Source organism: Homo sapiens, chromosome 1 (assembly GCF_000001405.40).
Source record: "Homo sapiens chromosome 1, GRCh38.p14 Primary Assembly".
NCBI lineage: Eukaryota > Metazoa > Chordata > Mammalia > Primates > Hominidae > Homo > Homo sapiens.
Genome location: NC_000001.11, coordinates 209,251,808 through 209,269,122, shown reverse-complemented (window position 1 = coordinate 209,269,122; position 17,315 = coordinate 209,251,808). Strand labels below are relative to the sequence as shown.

Sequence of the window (17,315 nt, the reverse complement as noted above, 5' to 3'; positions counted from 1 at the left end):
GGCATATGAGTAGGTGGATGTACAAAAGTATACAGAAGTATATGTATATATTCATTTATATTCATTCAGTAGTGAATAAATATGAAAATACATCTCTCTCTCGGTAATGTTTATTGACCTCATGGTGTTCACCACAATTTTGGAAGTGGGATATATGCCGTCTGAATCCCAGCTCATAGACCAGTTTATGCTTCACCCTTGTTCTCATCTTTGAGTCCTACTTCCTCTTCACAGCCTCCATTCTCCCTTATCAACATAAAAGGAAATCCTATGACCAGTATTTGGGCATGATCAGGAAAAATGATAGGAAAGTACTTACAAGTTAACTTAACCTTTTCTCTCCATGTGTTTGTTTTGTGGTATGTTTATTTTTGAGGCTCTCATTAGTGGTTTAGTGGCTCCTTTACAGAAACTGGCCAGCCAGCACTTGACAACTCACACTAGGGTGAAGGCTTTCGAATTCTTGGCCCCAGGGTGTACTCCTTAGCACCATAAGGGTCTTCTTTAGCATACAGCCTCAATAGATAAGGTCTGCATAGTAAATAGGGCAGTGAGAAAGAATAATTTATATTATTAGGAATGTCCTAAGGGAATGTAGGTTATCCTACAAAGGAAAGGTAGGTTATCACTGAAGATCCCTGTTTCATAGATAAGGAAATACAGGGATTAGAAGATATAAAGGTGTTGTCCTGGATAATGAGTGGGCGGGGAATGTATGTCAAGAGGTACTGACAGCAGATATCTGCCTCTTAAAGAGGGTCTGTATGTACCATCCAATTTTATGTCTTCCTGATCATGCCCTCTCCCTGACCCCCCACTGTATGTTTAAACAGGAGAGTCCTGTCTGTCTTCTCTGCACTGGGAGCAGCTCTCCTGCCATAGCCCCTCACCCCGTAAAAATGTATGCCTGCTCCAAATTCATCTCCACTCCCTCCTTGGTCAAGAGCACCTCACAGCTGCTGAGCCATCCACTATCTGCAGTGGTGTTGAAATGACCGGAGACAATGGCAGATGAGAGTCTCAGCAGCTTGGCAGTCTCATGTCCCCTTACCTCACTTGTCCCTAGCTGCAGCTTCCAAACTAGTGCCATTTCAAGGGACATAGACATGGCAGCCAAATTCATTGGGGCTGGGGCTACCACAGTTGGGGTGGCTGGCTCTGGGGCTGGGATTGGGACTGTGTTTGGGAGCCTCATCATTGGTTATGCCAGGAACGCTTCTCTGAAGCAACAGCTCTTCTCCTATGCCATTCTGGGCTTTGCCCTCTGGGAGGCCTTGGGGCTCTTTTGCCTGATGGTGGCCTTTCTCATCCTCTTCGCCATGTGAAGGAGCCGTCTCCACCTCCCATAGTTCTTTTTTCCATGTCTGATGGGCCCTGTGTGTTCCTTTTCCTATACCTCCCCAGGCAGCCTGGGGAACATGGTTGGCTCAGGGTTTGACGGAGAAAAGACAAATAAATACTGTATTAATAAGAAAAAAAAAAGTAAACAGGAGAATGAGACCAGCATGCACCCCTGCTTGGGTAGTCAATGATATACTGGTACAGACAGTGGTAAAAAGAAAACAGCAGTGATGCCAGGGGAGTAGTAGAAAGTGGTAGAAATTATTACCAAGAGTGAGAAGGGGATTGTTCACCCACTACTTTTCTTTGGACTTGTATATCTAGGAGTATGATATTCAAATGAAAAGGAGTAGAACAAATATAGCCAAGGAAGAATTAAATCCCAAGAAAGGGATGGAGCATATCAGAGAAAACCTTGATGCCCAAAAGACTCAAGGTCCCCAGATTCAGTCAGTCACTGGAGTTCTGAAAGGACTTGTGTTGCTGCTTACAAAGCTATTTTCCTACATCAAGGACAAAAATATCAACGGCCCATGCCCAATAAGTTGGAGAACCGCTTTACTAGAAGTTCACTAGAAAATATTAGGTGTTTTTAGTTGACTGCAAGCTGAAAACAAATAAGGCACAATAAGAAGCACTGGAATGACTCATAATCTTACACTGTGCTGATGTAAGTGTGATGCTGAGACAAAGAAAGTCGAGTCCCACTCTGTTTATTTTTGGCGTTTTAAGAGAAACATTAATAAGCTTTAGTGTGCTAAAGGAGAAAAAACAGATTGCTGGGAGTACTGCAGACAATGCCACAGGAGGAATAAAAGTGCTGGCTTTGTTTATAACCATGGAAAAAGATAAGCCTTAGCCACAAGGAAGGAGCCCCATAGCTCTCTTCCAGCGTTTCAAGCACTGCAAAGTACAAGAGTAATGAGACTTTTTCTGCATAGCTTCAGAGGGCGGAACCAAGAACAATGCTTAGAAGTTAAAGGGGAGAAAATTCCATTCAACATAATAAATCTGACAATCTTAGATTTATATAAGGTTGTGTAATCCACAAATACGCTCATGTGCATCATCTCACTTTAGGAAGAACTCCTGAACAATTGATGATAGAGTGAGCTGCCAGGCATGTTTAAGCATAGACTAATGAATCCACTAGACTAGATGAACTTAAAGATTGTGTCCAACTCAGGCTGTGAATCAACCTAGAGGTGCTTCCAAGTCAGCTTCTAAACTGAGAGGAAACAGGGAACAAACGCAATAACACCTGCATCAATTCATCCTTGTGTGTCTCCGTTTATACTTTTGAAAAAGGAAAAAAGTGAAAAGACAAGTTTGTCTTTACCACATGGGGAACTGGTTGAGTTAGACATCTCATCCTTTAAGATATTCAAGGGGATATTGGCTGCCTGTCTTCCTGGGGAATTCTGCACTGGGTAAGAAGATGGACCACATGCCCTGAGGTTCCTTCTAACACCAAGACTAAGGGAAAGCTGTATTTTATACTTGGCTCTACTACTTTCTACACTGACTTTGAGAGAGCCTTGTTTTTCACTCTCTGGACCTCAATTATCTTTCCTATTACAGGAAGGTATTGGACTCTGTGACCTTTAAGAGTTTTAGAGAACTCACATTCTAAAATTATAAGATTTTATAAAGAATATGTGGAAGCTTCATTCTTCCACATTCTCTAAGAAAAATTGATCCTGAGTTCTGGTCCTAGTGAGATTATGGTGGCAGTGTAGTTTCTTAATCTTTTCAAAACTCCTCCAGAAAACCAAACAGAAAATTAGAAATAGTGTAAAAATATGCCTAGATTATATATTTTTAAATACTAGGTGATAGGAAACATCTCTAAACCCTACAGTACTGCTGTAGTCAAAACCACATGTAGAAATGGCACCTAAAGGCAATCCGCTGTGGAGTCGTGGCAGCAACTGAGCAGGGTAGAAACACTGGGGTTCAGATGGTGCGAGGTGGCAGAAACAGGAAAAGAGAGTGGTGGGCTCAATGCAAACCTTTGACAAGCCCTGTAAGCTATAGAACCCAAGATCACCCATGAAGACTCACCCTTAAAAGAAGGCCTAATCTGGAATAAAAATCTGTGTGGACAAGCCTGAGAATAACTGTGAAACTACTATTCCGATATGCTCAGAGTTGCAAGTGAAAGCAGGAGCCTGCAGACAGCATCACAAGAGACCTGAGAGTGAGGCAGTAGAGCAAACCCTGGATGATTGCCAAAATATCCAATAATATCCTTTTCCAGAGGGGAAAACCGCCAGAAGCAGACACGTTGAGCCGGGCAGTAACTCTGGACAGTTGAGATGGTAAGCGGTGTGGGGAGGAGGTTGTGGGCCCAAAGGAGTCAGATCCCGGGAAGTCATGTAAGAAAAAAATAACTTGTCTAAAGGGGAGAGCTCTGGGAAACATAGAACTGAAGGCAGGAAACCTTCTTGGCCAGGCGTAGGCCTGAGAGATGGATGGGATGATGTATTTTGAGTCCTTCTTAATAACAAGAAAAGATGAAGCTGAGAGAGTGACCCTAGTTCATCCCCTGGCCCCCACTGACCAGGAACTGTCCCTTAATAGTCTAGGAAAAGCCATTTCATTTAAACAGGGAACACACAGAAAAAAAAATAGTCTAAATAATTCAAAGTTATTATTTAAAAAAAGGTAATAACGAAATAAATAACACCAGAAAAAGTGGACACAAAGCAGATGAAAACTATAACATTCTGTTTCGGAAAAACACCCGAATCAAATTTTTTCTTTGCTCTCACGCCACAGCAATGAACACAAAAGAAGACTTCTATGGCCAAATTCTTTGGGGGGGGGGGGGGGTTCCCCACCGACAAACAGTGGACACCAAGTAATTCAATTCTAATTCACCTCAAATTCACCTCTAGTTCAATTCCCACTCTAGCTACCTGGAGATAGCATCGGATCCCACAGGCTGAGGGCTCAGACCCCAAGACTGCCCCCGCCAACACACCCTTGTGGCAGACACTCCTTGCTGCAAATCTGAACTTCTGACCTAATGGCTTCAAGTTGGGGTTCCCACGACCCCCTCTGGGTTCGATTAACTTGCTGAAGCAGTTCAGGGAAACACTTAAGTTCTTAAGTTTACCAGTGTATTATAAGGTATATTACAAGTATATCACTAAAGATCCCTGTTTCATAGATAAGGAAATACCGGGTGTTTTTCCTGTTTCATGGAGAAGCAAATACAGATGAAGAGAAGCATAAGGCAAGGCACGGGGGAAGGGGTGCGGAGCTTCCACGTCCTCCCCTGACATAGCACCCTCCAGGAACCTCCACGTGTCAGCTATCTGGAAGCTCTCTCAGCCCTGTCCTTTTGGGTTTTTATGGTGGCTTCATAACATAAGCATGATGGACAACTATGTAGACATGTGATTGGGCAAAAAGTGCATGATCTAAACCCAGAAGGCCTGTTTGCCCAGACTTTTTTTTTAGGGTGTGGGGCAGGACCCGCTCTGAATGAGAGTCTTTTAACCCATAATCAGGATAGAGTCCTGCCTTGGGCAGGTGAGAGGAGGACAGGAGGTTAAAGAGAGAGATTCTGTTTCTCGAGGCCTGTTCCAGAGACATGAAGCACCCCAGATTATAAAAAAACTGTAACCAGAGTTACGGAGTCATGATCCAGGAATGGTGAATGAAAACCTATATACGTGTGTTTATATATAAAGTATATAAAATCATAATATCATAGATGCAATAGCAAAGTGAGAGAAAATAAATTAAAAAATCAATAGACACTTTGAAAGAATAGTATAAACCAGAAATAGAAGAAATAGTTAAATAGCCAATGGCTATGAATTGAGAACTTACAGAACTCAGGAAAGTTATTTTAAAAAATACACTTATAAATAAAGACTAATAAGTAGCAATACATGGGAAAAAGATACTATGGAAAAATACAGTGAGAAAAATCAAAAGATAAAAAAGGAAAAATGAAGGAAATCAAACAGAAATAAAGGAAAAGATAAAAATTATTTGAGAGAAAATGAAGGATGAGAAGACAAGTAAATATAAAGAAATAATGAAAAAAAGGAGGATCCAACAAAATAGTCCCTAAGGAAGGAAAACGAGTATTAAAATTATAAATCAGGAACAGTTTGCTGAAATAGAAGTTTTAAGATTTACATATTTATTTTAACTGGAGGAATCAACCCATAACAGTTATCACCAAGGAAATCCTAATAAAATAACTGAATGTTAAAAGTTAGAAAAAACAAAAACAAAAACAACCTCTTTGGGAATTCAGACAAAGAGACCAAGTCATTTTAAGAGATAAAAAATCAGATTTGAATTAGATCTCTCAGGTCACAGCTATAATCCCAGCGCTTTGGGAGGCTGAAGTGGGAGGACCACTCGAGCCCAGGAGTTCAAGGCTGTAGTGAGCTATGATTGTGCCACTCCTCCATCCTGGGTGACACAGTGAGACTCTGTCTCAAAAACAAACACACATAAAAATCAGAATTATCAACAGCATCATTTTCTGTTAAAAAAAAAAAGAGAGAAGGACTGGGTGTGGTGGCTCATGCCTGTAATCTCAGCACTTTGGGAGGCTGAGGCAGGCGGATCACGAGGTCAGGAGATCGAGACCATCCTGGCTAACATGGTGAAACCCCGTCTCTACTAAAAATACAAAAAAAATAGCCGGGTGTGGTGGTGGGCGCCTGTAATCCCAGCTACTCGGGAGGCTGAGGCAGGAGAATGGCGGGAACCCAGGATGCAGTTGAGCCACTGCACTCCAGCCTGGGCAACAGAGTGAGACTCCGTCTCAAAAAACAAAACAACAACAACAACAACAAAAAGAGAAATATTTTAAATGATTTCATGAAAAGAAGATGAGAATCAAAGGTTGTATGTGTTAACAGGAAAAAGTCCAGCATTGTGAACTGCAAGATCTCATGGAATGTTACTCTCATGAGTTGTTCCTGAGAAATTTACTGGAGAATGAGCTCCAGACAAGCAATAAGTAATTCTAGAAAATTCAGTACAAGTTTTCAGAGATAAGTGTGAATGTACTTAAATGTAGAATAACAACCTGAAATTGGAGATAAGAATTTAAAAAGTGTACTGTTGATGTGTGCTTTGACAGTGTCATATAATAAAAACTAACAAAAATAGGACAAGAAAGGGGTGAGTAAATGGAAAGAAGAGTAATCTTACAGATTGCCTGATATGTGCTAGGTGGGAGCAAGAGGATATTGCTTGAGTCTGACAATGGAAGTAGTTGAAGCTTGAGTTTTCTTAAAATTTTTCATTAAGTTAATACTAGAGACAATGTGGATAGTGGGAAGGGAAGAGGGGAGAAAAAATGATTATTGGTTGAGATTTTATAGAAGAAATTAGAGTATTAAATAATGATAACCACTAGAATATAAAAAAACTTTCTAAATTTCTAAAGAAAGAATAATTATAAAGCAAATCACAAAGTAAAGCACTTTGCATGCATATTGTATATGTCTGTGAGCATAAAAAGTCATAGACATATGTAAATATGTAAATATTTATGGATACAATTGGCATTTTGGTAGGTCATAAACAATAGGCTATTAGCAATTACACATGATTCAACAAAGAAATAACATATAAAACAATATGTCAGAACTGAGAAAAAATACTGATTATATTAATAAATGTAAATGGACTTTACTTACCTATAAAAGAAAAAAAAAGTTGATCTTAACAAAGCAAAATCTAACTCCATGGTGTTATATAAAACATATCAAGGAAAAAAAGTGAATCAGAAAGGCTAAGAGTAAAAATATACATGAAGATATATCAGTCAAGTAAAATAAAAAGAAGGCAGAGGACATGATCTGAATATCAGAAAAATATAGATTTCATGCCAACAAACATTGAAAGACATGAAGGCCATTTAATGAACCTAAATAATACAATATACAGTAAAGATGTAATAGTCACTAATATCTTTACAACTTTTACAAACAGAAAACATAGAATATGAAAGACAGAATGGACAGACACAATTAACAGAAGATTTTTATAACACTTTTTCAAGACAGTGAGATTAAAAAATATTAAGAATATAGAAGGCCTTAAAAAAAGGTGGTTCAGATAGCTATACATTGAACTCTGAATCCTGATAGTAAAGAATATACTTTTTTTCCTAGTGCTTTTGGTTATTTGTAGACATTTACTGTACGTTAAAACACAAAGAAAAACCTCAGTTAATTTTAGAAAATAGACATAATAATCCAGCTCTTTTCCCTCCAAAATTACCGTTAAACCAGAAATAATCAATAAGTTATCAAAACTCTTTCTTTTTTTTTTTTTTTTTTTTTGAGACGGAGTCTCGCTCTGTCGCCCAGGCTGGAGTGCAGTGGCGGGATCTCGGCTCACTGCAAGCTCCGCCTCCCGGGTTCACGCCATTCTCCTGCCTCAGCCTCCCGAGTAGCTGGGACTACAGGCACCCGCCACTACGCCCGGCTAATTTTTTGTATTTTTAGTAGAGACGGGGTTTCACCGTTTTAGCCGGGATGGTCTCGATCTCCTGACCTCGTGATCCTCCCGCCTCGGCCTCCCAAAGTGCTGGGATTACAGGCGTGAGCCACCACGCCCAGCTCAAAACTCTTTCTTAAAGACTCGAGTTAAATGGAAAATACAAAGTAAAATTGTAGAATTTCTAGAAATGTATGTAATAATGGAGATATTATATATTTGAAAAAATCAAGAACTAGTGAAAAAGACTACTATAAACAATGATAGAATTTGGTAAAATTGAATACAAAATCACCTGATATAAATTAATAACCTCATTAAATATGACCAATAACTAGTTAGAGGTTTCAATGGAGGAGATAAATCTATTTACAATAACAACAAAAAATACTTATGCATAAACTTAACCAAATTTGCAAAACTTATAGAAAGCTTTTATACATTTGTTAAAGATATAAAGTAGATATAAACAAACTGAAAGCTATGCCATCAAAAAAGATGAGAAGGAAGGATGGATAGATATAGTAAGTACAGCAAAATCTTGACACTTGGTCAATATGGGTGAACAGTATAGAAAAATTTATTATGTTATCCTTTTTGTGTTTTTGAATTTTGAACATTTTACAATAAACTAATTTAAAATAGTTAATCTCAGTATTGCAAATAAAAGTATTTAGGTTCTAGCTCTGTGATATTAAAGCCCACCTAGATATTTAAATAAGTTAATTAAAATGATTTGATTAAATTTCTATGGTCAGACTTACTTAAGGTAAATCTCTTTGAAATCTCTTATTAAAAAATTAATTGTACATGAATATTTTGGACACTTTAAAGTGATAAATATTTTTCTCTACTCTCCACAACTCTGCCTATGGAGCCAAATGAGGAGTCATATTTCTCATTCCCTCAGCTTCTAAGGACTAGATAAGGCAAACTGTGACGCAGAAAGATAATTATGCAGACTGCTAGAGTTATTGCTGGAAGTGCTTCAAGTTCTCAGCCTGAAAGTTGTCTTCACAGACCATCGTACTCATACTCTGACTTCTAGATGGGGTAATGGGGAAGCCAGGTAAGTGTATTTAACCTTTTGTCTTTTCTCCAAAGTGTTACCACTGAAAAAGTAAACCTGCTCAAATAATCTTCAAAGACAAATTTGCACCACATTCCATGCTTATCCTCACTGAAAATTTCAGATAAACAATTTTACTTTTTCTCAGAGTTAATGCTTGCTATTCTTGAAATAATAAGTACTAATGCTTTTATAATCACCTTCAACAAACCAAACCAAAACAAAACAACTGAAAACATGACATGAACTGAGTTCTTCGTGCCTACTGTTCCTACTGGACAAAGCTCAGCCTCCTCACCCTGGCATCCTAGCCACACTATCCCCAACCTCCAGGGTATGGTTCCAATATTTTTTTCATTGATATTGTTTAACATAGCTTGGCTGGTTTCCTTTAATCCAAACAAACAACAACAGAAATTGTAAAACCTTGTATTTGCTTAAAGTTATTTAGTTCACAGAATATGAGTTTTTCAATATATTTCTCATTTAACTCCCACAAAAGCCTTAAGAGCTAGGCATTATCTACCCTCATTTTTAGAATGGGCAAAGTGGTGCTGGAGGAGTTAGAGCTTTGCTCAACATAGTAAAGCTAATAAAATTATGATGAAGCAAATTTTTTAAAATTTTAAATGCTGTGTTTATCTCACAAAAATATGTTACCACTAAACTATACACTCATTCCCATCCTTTCAAACATTCTGAATTGCACCTGTTTTAATGGCACATGGCCAATGGTTTAATAAATCACGCCTACATAATGAAGCTCCAATAAAAACTGTGGATACAGAAGCTCTGCTGAGCTTGCTTGATTGGTAATAGTCTGTATTGTCACCCACTGATGTATTATAAGTGTGATACATCCTGGTCTAATTTTGCTACTAGATTCCTTTCTTCAGGAATCCCATCTTCTTACCCATCCAAGTCTCTCCAAATTCTGTCTGTCCTTCAAGATGTGGATATGAAATTCTTCTTGATCTCTTGAGGCTTGTGTGCTATCTTTCTCTCCTCTGAATCAGCAGAGGGCTTTCTGTGTGTGTTTGGACACTTATTACATTCTGCCTTGAGTTGTGTTATTCTATGCACACTTGTCTTGCTGGTGAGGGTCTATGTCTTACCCATCTTTCTATACCTTCCAAGTTGCACATTACGAGTTGGCACATAGTAGGTATTATACTTAACAAATGTTTCAGAAACTACATGGAATTTTGTTTATTATGATTTAAAGACTTGCTTTCTCTCTAAAAGAGAGTTCTTTCCTTATAATAGGAACTCATATAGTAAGTAGAAACCACTTTTATAATAAGTAGACAGATTCATGTGAAGTATGAAAGTGAAATAATATTGCTAATAGTAATAATCAGTGACATAATAATAATGGTAATCTTACAACCTTGACTCATGAGGTTATTCCCTTTCAGATTATAATAATTCATATATCTTTCTAATTTATTTTCCCAATATGCCTGTAAGCCAATTATCAGTATAGTGTTATGAATGGAAACTTAAGAATCAGAACTTTGGACTCACAGTTGTGGTTGAGTGACAGCTCCTCCAATTACTTGAACAAGTTATTTAACCTCCTGAAATCTCTATCACCTCTCCACTCTTTACAAAATAGAGATAATAAAATGACAAAATTTGCAAGTTTATGGTGAAGAATAAATGAGATTAAGTAGGCAAAGTTCTCAGCACAGCATCTGGTGCATAGTAAGCACTCATTAAATGGTATCAGTAATTACTGCTGTAAGTGAAAAGAATGAGATGTAAAACCCAAGATGATTAAGTAACCTGCGTGAGAAGATATAATAAACTCTAACTAGAACTTGAGTTTTTGCTTCCTGGATGACCTCATAATCTCCCACCAATCCCATTCCTCTGTCCCTGTAAGGATTTGGCTGGGTTTTGTCCCTAGTTTTGTGGAGGTAGCCTCCAAACCCTTGGAATTTCCTAAGTAATAAGAGTGTCTTTGCTATTAATGGTAGGTCATGATAGGTTTTGCTTATGAGGTGACTCAGGATAGGGCTGTAGGTAGTTTATGTTAAGGAAAAGACTCGGGATGGAGGCTGGTCATGACAGAAAGACCAACCATGAGATTATAGAGGCTTTCAGCTACCTTGATATTGAACTAGTCTTTAGGGAGGAAAAGACTAGAGATTGAGTCATATAGTCAATGGTTTAATCATTTATGCCTGAATACTGAAGCCCCAGTAAAAACCATGGACACCGAGCTCAGCTGTGTGTAATACTCTGTATTATCACTTATCAGGAGGGTGATGCACCCTGAATGCATGGGAGAGGACAAAGGAAGTTTCACATTTGAGATCCTCTCTGACTTTGCTGTATGTGTCTCTCCTTTTGGCTGATTCTGATTGATTTGTATTCTTTTGCTATAACTATAATCATAAGTAGAGTGCTTTTCTGAGTTCTGTAAGTTGTTCTGACAAATTATGAAACCTGAAGAGATAGTGATAAACCCTGAATTTATAGGCAGTTGGTCAGCAGGGAGGAAGGCCTGGGGACTCCAGAATTTGCAACTGGTATCTGAAGTGAGAACAGTTTTGTGGAGGGCTTTGCCCACAACCTGTGAAGCTTTGTCTGGCTCTGGACAGTTGATGCCAGATGTCCCCTTCACCAAAAAACCTCAACAGGAAGATCAGGTACACTTCCTGTTGAGTCAAAAATGAGATTTGTTTAAAACCTATAACATTTTATTTCTTGTGGTTTGGATGCAGGTGTTGAAATGCGATCATATTGACTCTATACATCTTATTGTTTAGGTAACATTCATATTGCAGTAAAAAGGATGCAACAATGATCCTGTGCAAAATGATTTCTATTTGGCACTAACCTATTATGGACTCTTTTCTTTCCAAAAATCCTTCTCCAATCTTCAAACAAATTAATTCATCTGCTCAGTGAGAGGAGGAAACCAAGCAGAAACCTCCGCCGTGAGGGGTACAAGGGGGCGGTTCACGAGGACAGCTGGAGTGCATATGTTGTGGCTCTCGACACCCTGCTGGGGAGTGTCTCTCTCGCCAACAGTATGGAAATCATAATTAGCACCCTATAGCGACTCAGGGCTTCAAACCCACCGAAATCTATTTGCAGCGTTTCACAACTTACTGAGAACAGCATCTCTCGCATTTAGGTAGCTGCCTCCCGTCTGCTGTCTGCTCTGTTGGCCCTAATGTATTTAGATAGATTCTTCTTCCATGAGGCAGAGCCCAAGTTCATTAGAATCATGCGTTCTGCTTCAAAACCTCCCTTAATCTCCCTAGGTGCTCTTTGGGCTTTTCCAGTTGTATTCACTAACCTTGGACGGGTATTTAGGAACAATGCTAATGTTCTTAAATTGCTTTGCAGTTTCCTCTCCTGGATTATTCCGGCAGGCAAAAGAAAGAAATACCAATTAAGCCCCAAGAGCCATTTTGCAAATGCTCTTTCCCTTAAACCAGGGAATGTCTAACTGTGAACCCAAATGGAAAAGATGCAGGATGGTGCTGTGATGTGTTATGCATGTTGACTCTTTTCTTTCAGAGGGATCTAATCTTTTGGAGTGGGCATTAGGTAATGCTTTCAATGTAGTACTCAAGGCCAAAAAAGAAAAGAGAGACACTTTTATACATTTTGGATAATAACATGTTGGTGTTTTAAAATACTCATCTTAAAAGGGTATTTGTTATTCATTATGTACAGTGCATTTCAGAGTTCTGCTCTCCATTAACCCCTTCTTTGAGCAGACAGCAGATAGTTTGAAAACATTTCTGTTCACTAAGCAAGCCTCAGATTGAATTTTGAAACCTGCTTGGATATTGGGGTGACTTGTGGTGCTATAGTAGAGCACTGGTAAATAGTAACATTGGCAGCCTCCAGAAGGGGAACTAAAAGGCTTGGAGACAGGAATAAAAGGTAGATATTTTGTGATCAATCTTGTGTTTTGTATCATGTGAATATATTGCCAATTCAAAACACACACAAGAAGTATATAATTTTTAAGCTGAACATGGTGAAATATGCCTGTAATCCCGGCTACTTGGGAGATTGAGGTGGGGCAATCACTTGAGGTCAGGAGCTTGAGGCTGCAGTGTCCTATGACCCTGTCTGTGAATAGCCACTGCACTTTAGCTTGGGCAATATAGTGAGACCCCATATCTAAGAATTAATGAACGTGTAAATAAATAAGACCATTTTAAAAACCTAGAGAAAATATTTTTTAAAAGGTAAGAAAAATGGTGCAGCTGCTGTGGAAATAATATATTAGTTCCCCTTAAAAATTAAACATATAATTACCATATTAAAAAAACATCATATAATCCAGCAATTTCATTCCTGGGTATATATGCAAAAGATTTGAAGATAGAGACTCAAACAGATACTCTTATACACCCATGTTCACAGCAGCTTTATTTAAAATAGCCAAAAAGTGAAAGCAACCCAAGTATTCACCAGTAGATAAATAGGAAAACAAAATGTGATGTGTGCATACAATGGAATATTATGCAGCCTTAAAAAGGAAGGAAATTCTGACATATGCTATAGCATGGGTGAACCTGGAAGACATTATGCTAAGTGAAAAAAGCCAGTCACAAAAGGACAAATATTGTGATTCAACTTCTTTGCAAAACCTAGATTAGTCTGATTTATAGAGATAAAAAGTAGAATGCTGGTTGCCAGGGGCTGTGGAGAGGGAGTAATGGGGAGTTGGTGTTGAATGGGTACAGAGTTTCAGCTTGGGAAGATGAAAAAATTCTGGATATAGACGGTAGTAATAGTTGCAGAACAATGTGAAGGTAGTTAATGCCACAGAATTGGACACTTAAAATGGCTAAAATAATAAGTGTTTTTATTTTACCACAATAAAAAAGAAGAAAAAAGTAAGAAAATGTGTGATCATCCCCATTGATTGCGATACCCACGTTCCCCATTTCTAGCGAATCTGACAGGCAACCTCTGTGGGTCTGTCACTCTTCTGTTCCTGGGACTTCAGCAAGTGCTTTTCATGCCAAGTGGTAATAAGTGCTCTGGTTGAGATTAAAGTTGGGGTGACATGATTGCTGGATGGAGGTGTTAGTGGAGGGGATGGTAATTAGGAATATTATAAGTAGATTGCAAAGAAATTATGCTTTTTGGATGTTTGAAGAGTCATCTTGCTGCAGAATGGTCATATGGACTTCATCCCCTGGTGCATTCAGTCCCAAATTCTATGAACTTTGCCTCTTAGCCCAAGTGAATATTCCACCAATTTTCCTATTGCTATAAAAATATAAGGTGACAGCAGTCACTACAGAGCTAAGAGACCATACGTCTTATGCCGTATGGTCCCTTTTGCGGCCTCCCTACTTGAGAGTGCTGAAGAGGCAACACATTCTGACACCAATTCTCTGATACCAACTGTGTGTCCTACAATTCTGTTCAATCCTGACACCAGCTTCCCAAGTTAACATCATATCCCACAAGTTAAAGGGCAAGGTCCCCAACAAGACCCCAACAAGACTGCCCTTTCCTCAGATGCTAGTTGCAAGTGGAGTCCCAGGCTACCCACATTTCTGCCCAGTCAACTACAAATTTGGGGTTTCTCTTATGAGAAACCCCAATCATTCATCCTGAGGTTGAATAATTTGCTAGAATGCCTCACAGACCTCAAAAGGCATGATGCTTACAATTCCTGTCTTATTATAAAGGATATAAATAAACAGCCAGATAAAGAGATACATAAAGCAAGATCTAGAAGGGTCCAAGGACAGGAGCTTCTGTCCCCATGGAGTCAGGGTACATCAGTGAGAGAGGGTGCTCTCACTTGATGATCTGTTGATCAGTTTTTATCTGGGGTTTCATTAAGTAGACATAATTGATTGCATCATTATTCATGTGATTGAACTCAATATCCAATCTCTCTTCTCTCTCTGGTGTTTGGGGATAGGCCCATAAGTTCCACTCTCTAAATCATGTGCTTGGTGTTTCTGGAGTGGCCAGCCCCTCTCTTGAAACTAAGACCCCCACCATGAGTCATCTTATTAACATAAACTCAAATATGATCAAAAGGACTCTTTGTGAATAACAAGACACTCCTATCACTTAGGAAATTCCAAGCGTTTTTGAAGTTCTGTGCCAGGAACTGGGGGACAAAGATTAGATGGATTCTTTATTATATCATAGGTAGAAATAACTCCATCTTGATTTCTGCAGTTAATGCCTACCTAACGATCATATAGTTGGCTATATTGTATCATGAATAGTGAAGAAACCAGTTTTTCCAGCTCTCAGCAAAGAAATGTCAAGAAAGCATGGCTGCTGTTGGTTTAAGATCTATAAGGTAGAAATACCATTTGACCCAGCCATCCCATTACTGAGTATATACCCAAAGGATTATAAATCATGCTGCTATAAAGACACATGCACACATATGTTTATTGCGGCACTATTCACAATAGCAAAGACTTGGAACCAACCCAAATGTCCATCAATGATAGACTGGATTAAGAAAATGTGGCACATATACACCATGGAATACTATGCAGCCATAAAAAAGGATGAGTTCCTGTCCTTTGTAGGGACATGGATGAAGCTGGAAACCATCATTCTCAGCAAACTATTGCAAGGACAGAAAACCAAACACCGTGTGTTCTCACTCATAGGTGGGAATTGAACAATGAGAACACTTGGACACAGGGTGGGGAACATCACACACCAGGGCCTGTCGTGGGGTGGGGGGAGGGGGGAGGGATAGCCTTAGGAGATATACCTAATGTAAATGACGAGTTAATGGGTGCAGCACACCAACATGGCACATGTATACATAGGTAACAAACCTGCACATTGTGCACATGTACCTTAGAACTTAAAGTACAATAAAAAAAAAGAGTACATATATGAAGATATTGCTGAAAAAACAAAAAAAACAAATCCACCACAACAACAAAGATCTATAAGGTAAGATGTGAGGTAAGTCTATCCTTGACTCCCCAGCTATTGAGCAGCCAGAGGATATGGATAAGAAGCCGCTCGATTCAGCCCTTTGAGCCTTTGTTTCTGCTGGTGAGCTCTCGGATCACCTTCCCTCTGATAACTCTTTAAACATCAAGTAGCTGTTTAAAGCAACGTTTTCTTCTGTTCTTTTCCCTTTTTCTTGGTCAGTGGATTAGCCAAGATTGATTTTTCTGCATGGCTGGGGAAGGCCTAAGGTTAAAAGATAAAAAGGTGGATTCCTTTTAAATGTAATTTAGATTTTTTTTCCCCTGGCATTAGTTCTGATATCAACCACAGAATCACGTCAATGTTCCAGAAACACCTGGGCCCTAGCTACAGCTGCTGGGGTAGGGCAAACCTACACTTCCAGCATAGCACAGCTGGGGCGGTCTAGGCAGATTTGCCATCAGGTGTCATTCTCTCTCTCTCTTTCTCTCCATCTCCCCCTCCAGCCCCCAGCTCTTTCTGCCACCCTACCCATTTTTTTCTCTCTTCTTTTCTTTCTCCTATTCTGCTTGCAAAATGCAGCTAGAGGACACACATGTTTATTCTACTCCATTGTTCTTTCAAGTCAGTGTGTATTTATCTTTTGCAAACTAAAGAGCTCAAGGGAGAACTGTTTCTGAGTCTACCAGATGACAAAAAGAGCCAATCGATTGAGTCGGAAAGCCTGTCAATTCAGCGGAACATCTTTGGCATGAGTGGTGTGTGAACAAAACAGGATTCAATTTTCCACTTTTTGCCAGGTTTCTCTTTGGCAGTGAGTAGACCACATCCAAATGCTATGCCAGGTGCAATAAACCACCCTCTTCATTTCTAAGTGGCTATCTTTCCACTTCACCTTAAAGTGGATACCAGTAAGCCTCTGTATGTTAAGTGTAAATGAGTGGTTTTATAAATAATGTCCCTAAGGACTGGAGACTCCCTGGAGCTTGAGGCAGAGAGTATGGGACAATGGTAGGAAGGAGGTGATGTGATGTGACATAGCCAGAGAATTGGAGAAGTTGGGGATGGAGAGAAACTGTTATTCAATGGATGGGGCTAAGCAGGGAAAGAATATTTGAAAAAATAAGAGTGAGAACTTGAGGCATGGCCACTGCAAGCTGGATAATGCTTAAGATGGAAGCATTGGCCAGGTTCCCACACTGTGCATAGCCCAGTGGCTTAAAAGGTCTTACGCATTTGTGGCCTCAGGAAATGGCAGTGTGACATCACGACACTGTGTTTACATGGGATATGGGGGCAAGAGATGGGGGTCTGTGCCCTACTCTGCCATTCCTCTTCTTCCTTCTTTCCTCCCTTTCATCTTTCTTCATTTAATTATTGCTAAGATTGTAAGGGACTCTTGAGTAATATTTACATGTGTCTTAGCCACATTCAGTGTTAAATTCAAAGAGTTGGTTTCAATCCAGCCAGCCAGTGCAAAAAGCTTCTAAACGCCAGGATACGATTT

General features: G+C 39.2%; 1 long non-coding RNA gene and 1 pseudogene across 2 annotated transcripts in view; both read left to right on the top strand.

Annotated features, from left to right (window-relative positions):
- On the top strand, window positions 840–1,473 carry ATP5MC2P1 (ATP5MC2 pseudogene 1; annotated as a pseudogene).
- LOC105372896 (uncharacterized) overlaps window positions 2,397–17,315 on the top strand; it is a 55,293-nt gene continuing 40,374 nt past the window's right edge. For both annotated transcript variants that reach the window (XR_922530.4, XR_922529.4), the window contains exons 1-2: window positions 2,397–3,662; window positions 8,705–8,896. This is a non-coding gene — a long non-coding RNA (uncharacterized LOC105372896). The remainder of the gene's footprint in view (window positions 3,663–8,704; window positions 8,897–17,315) is intronic.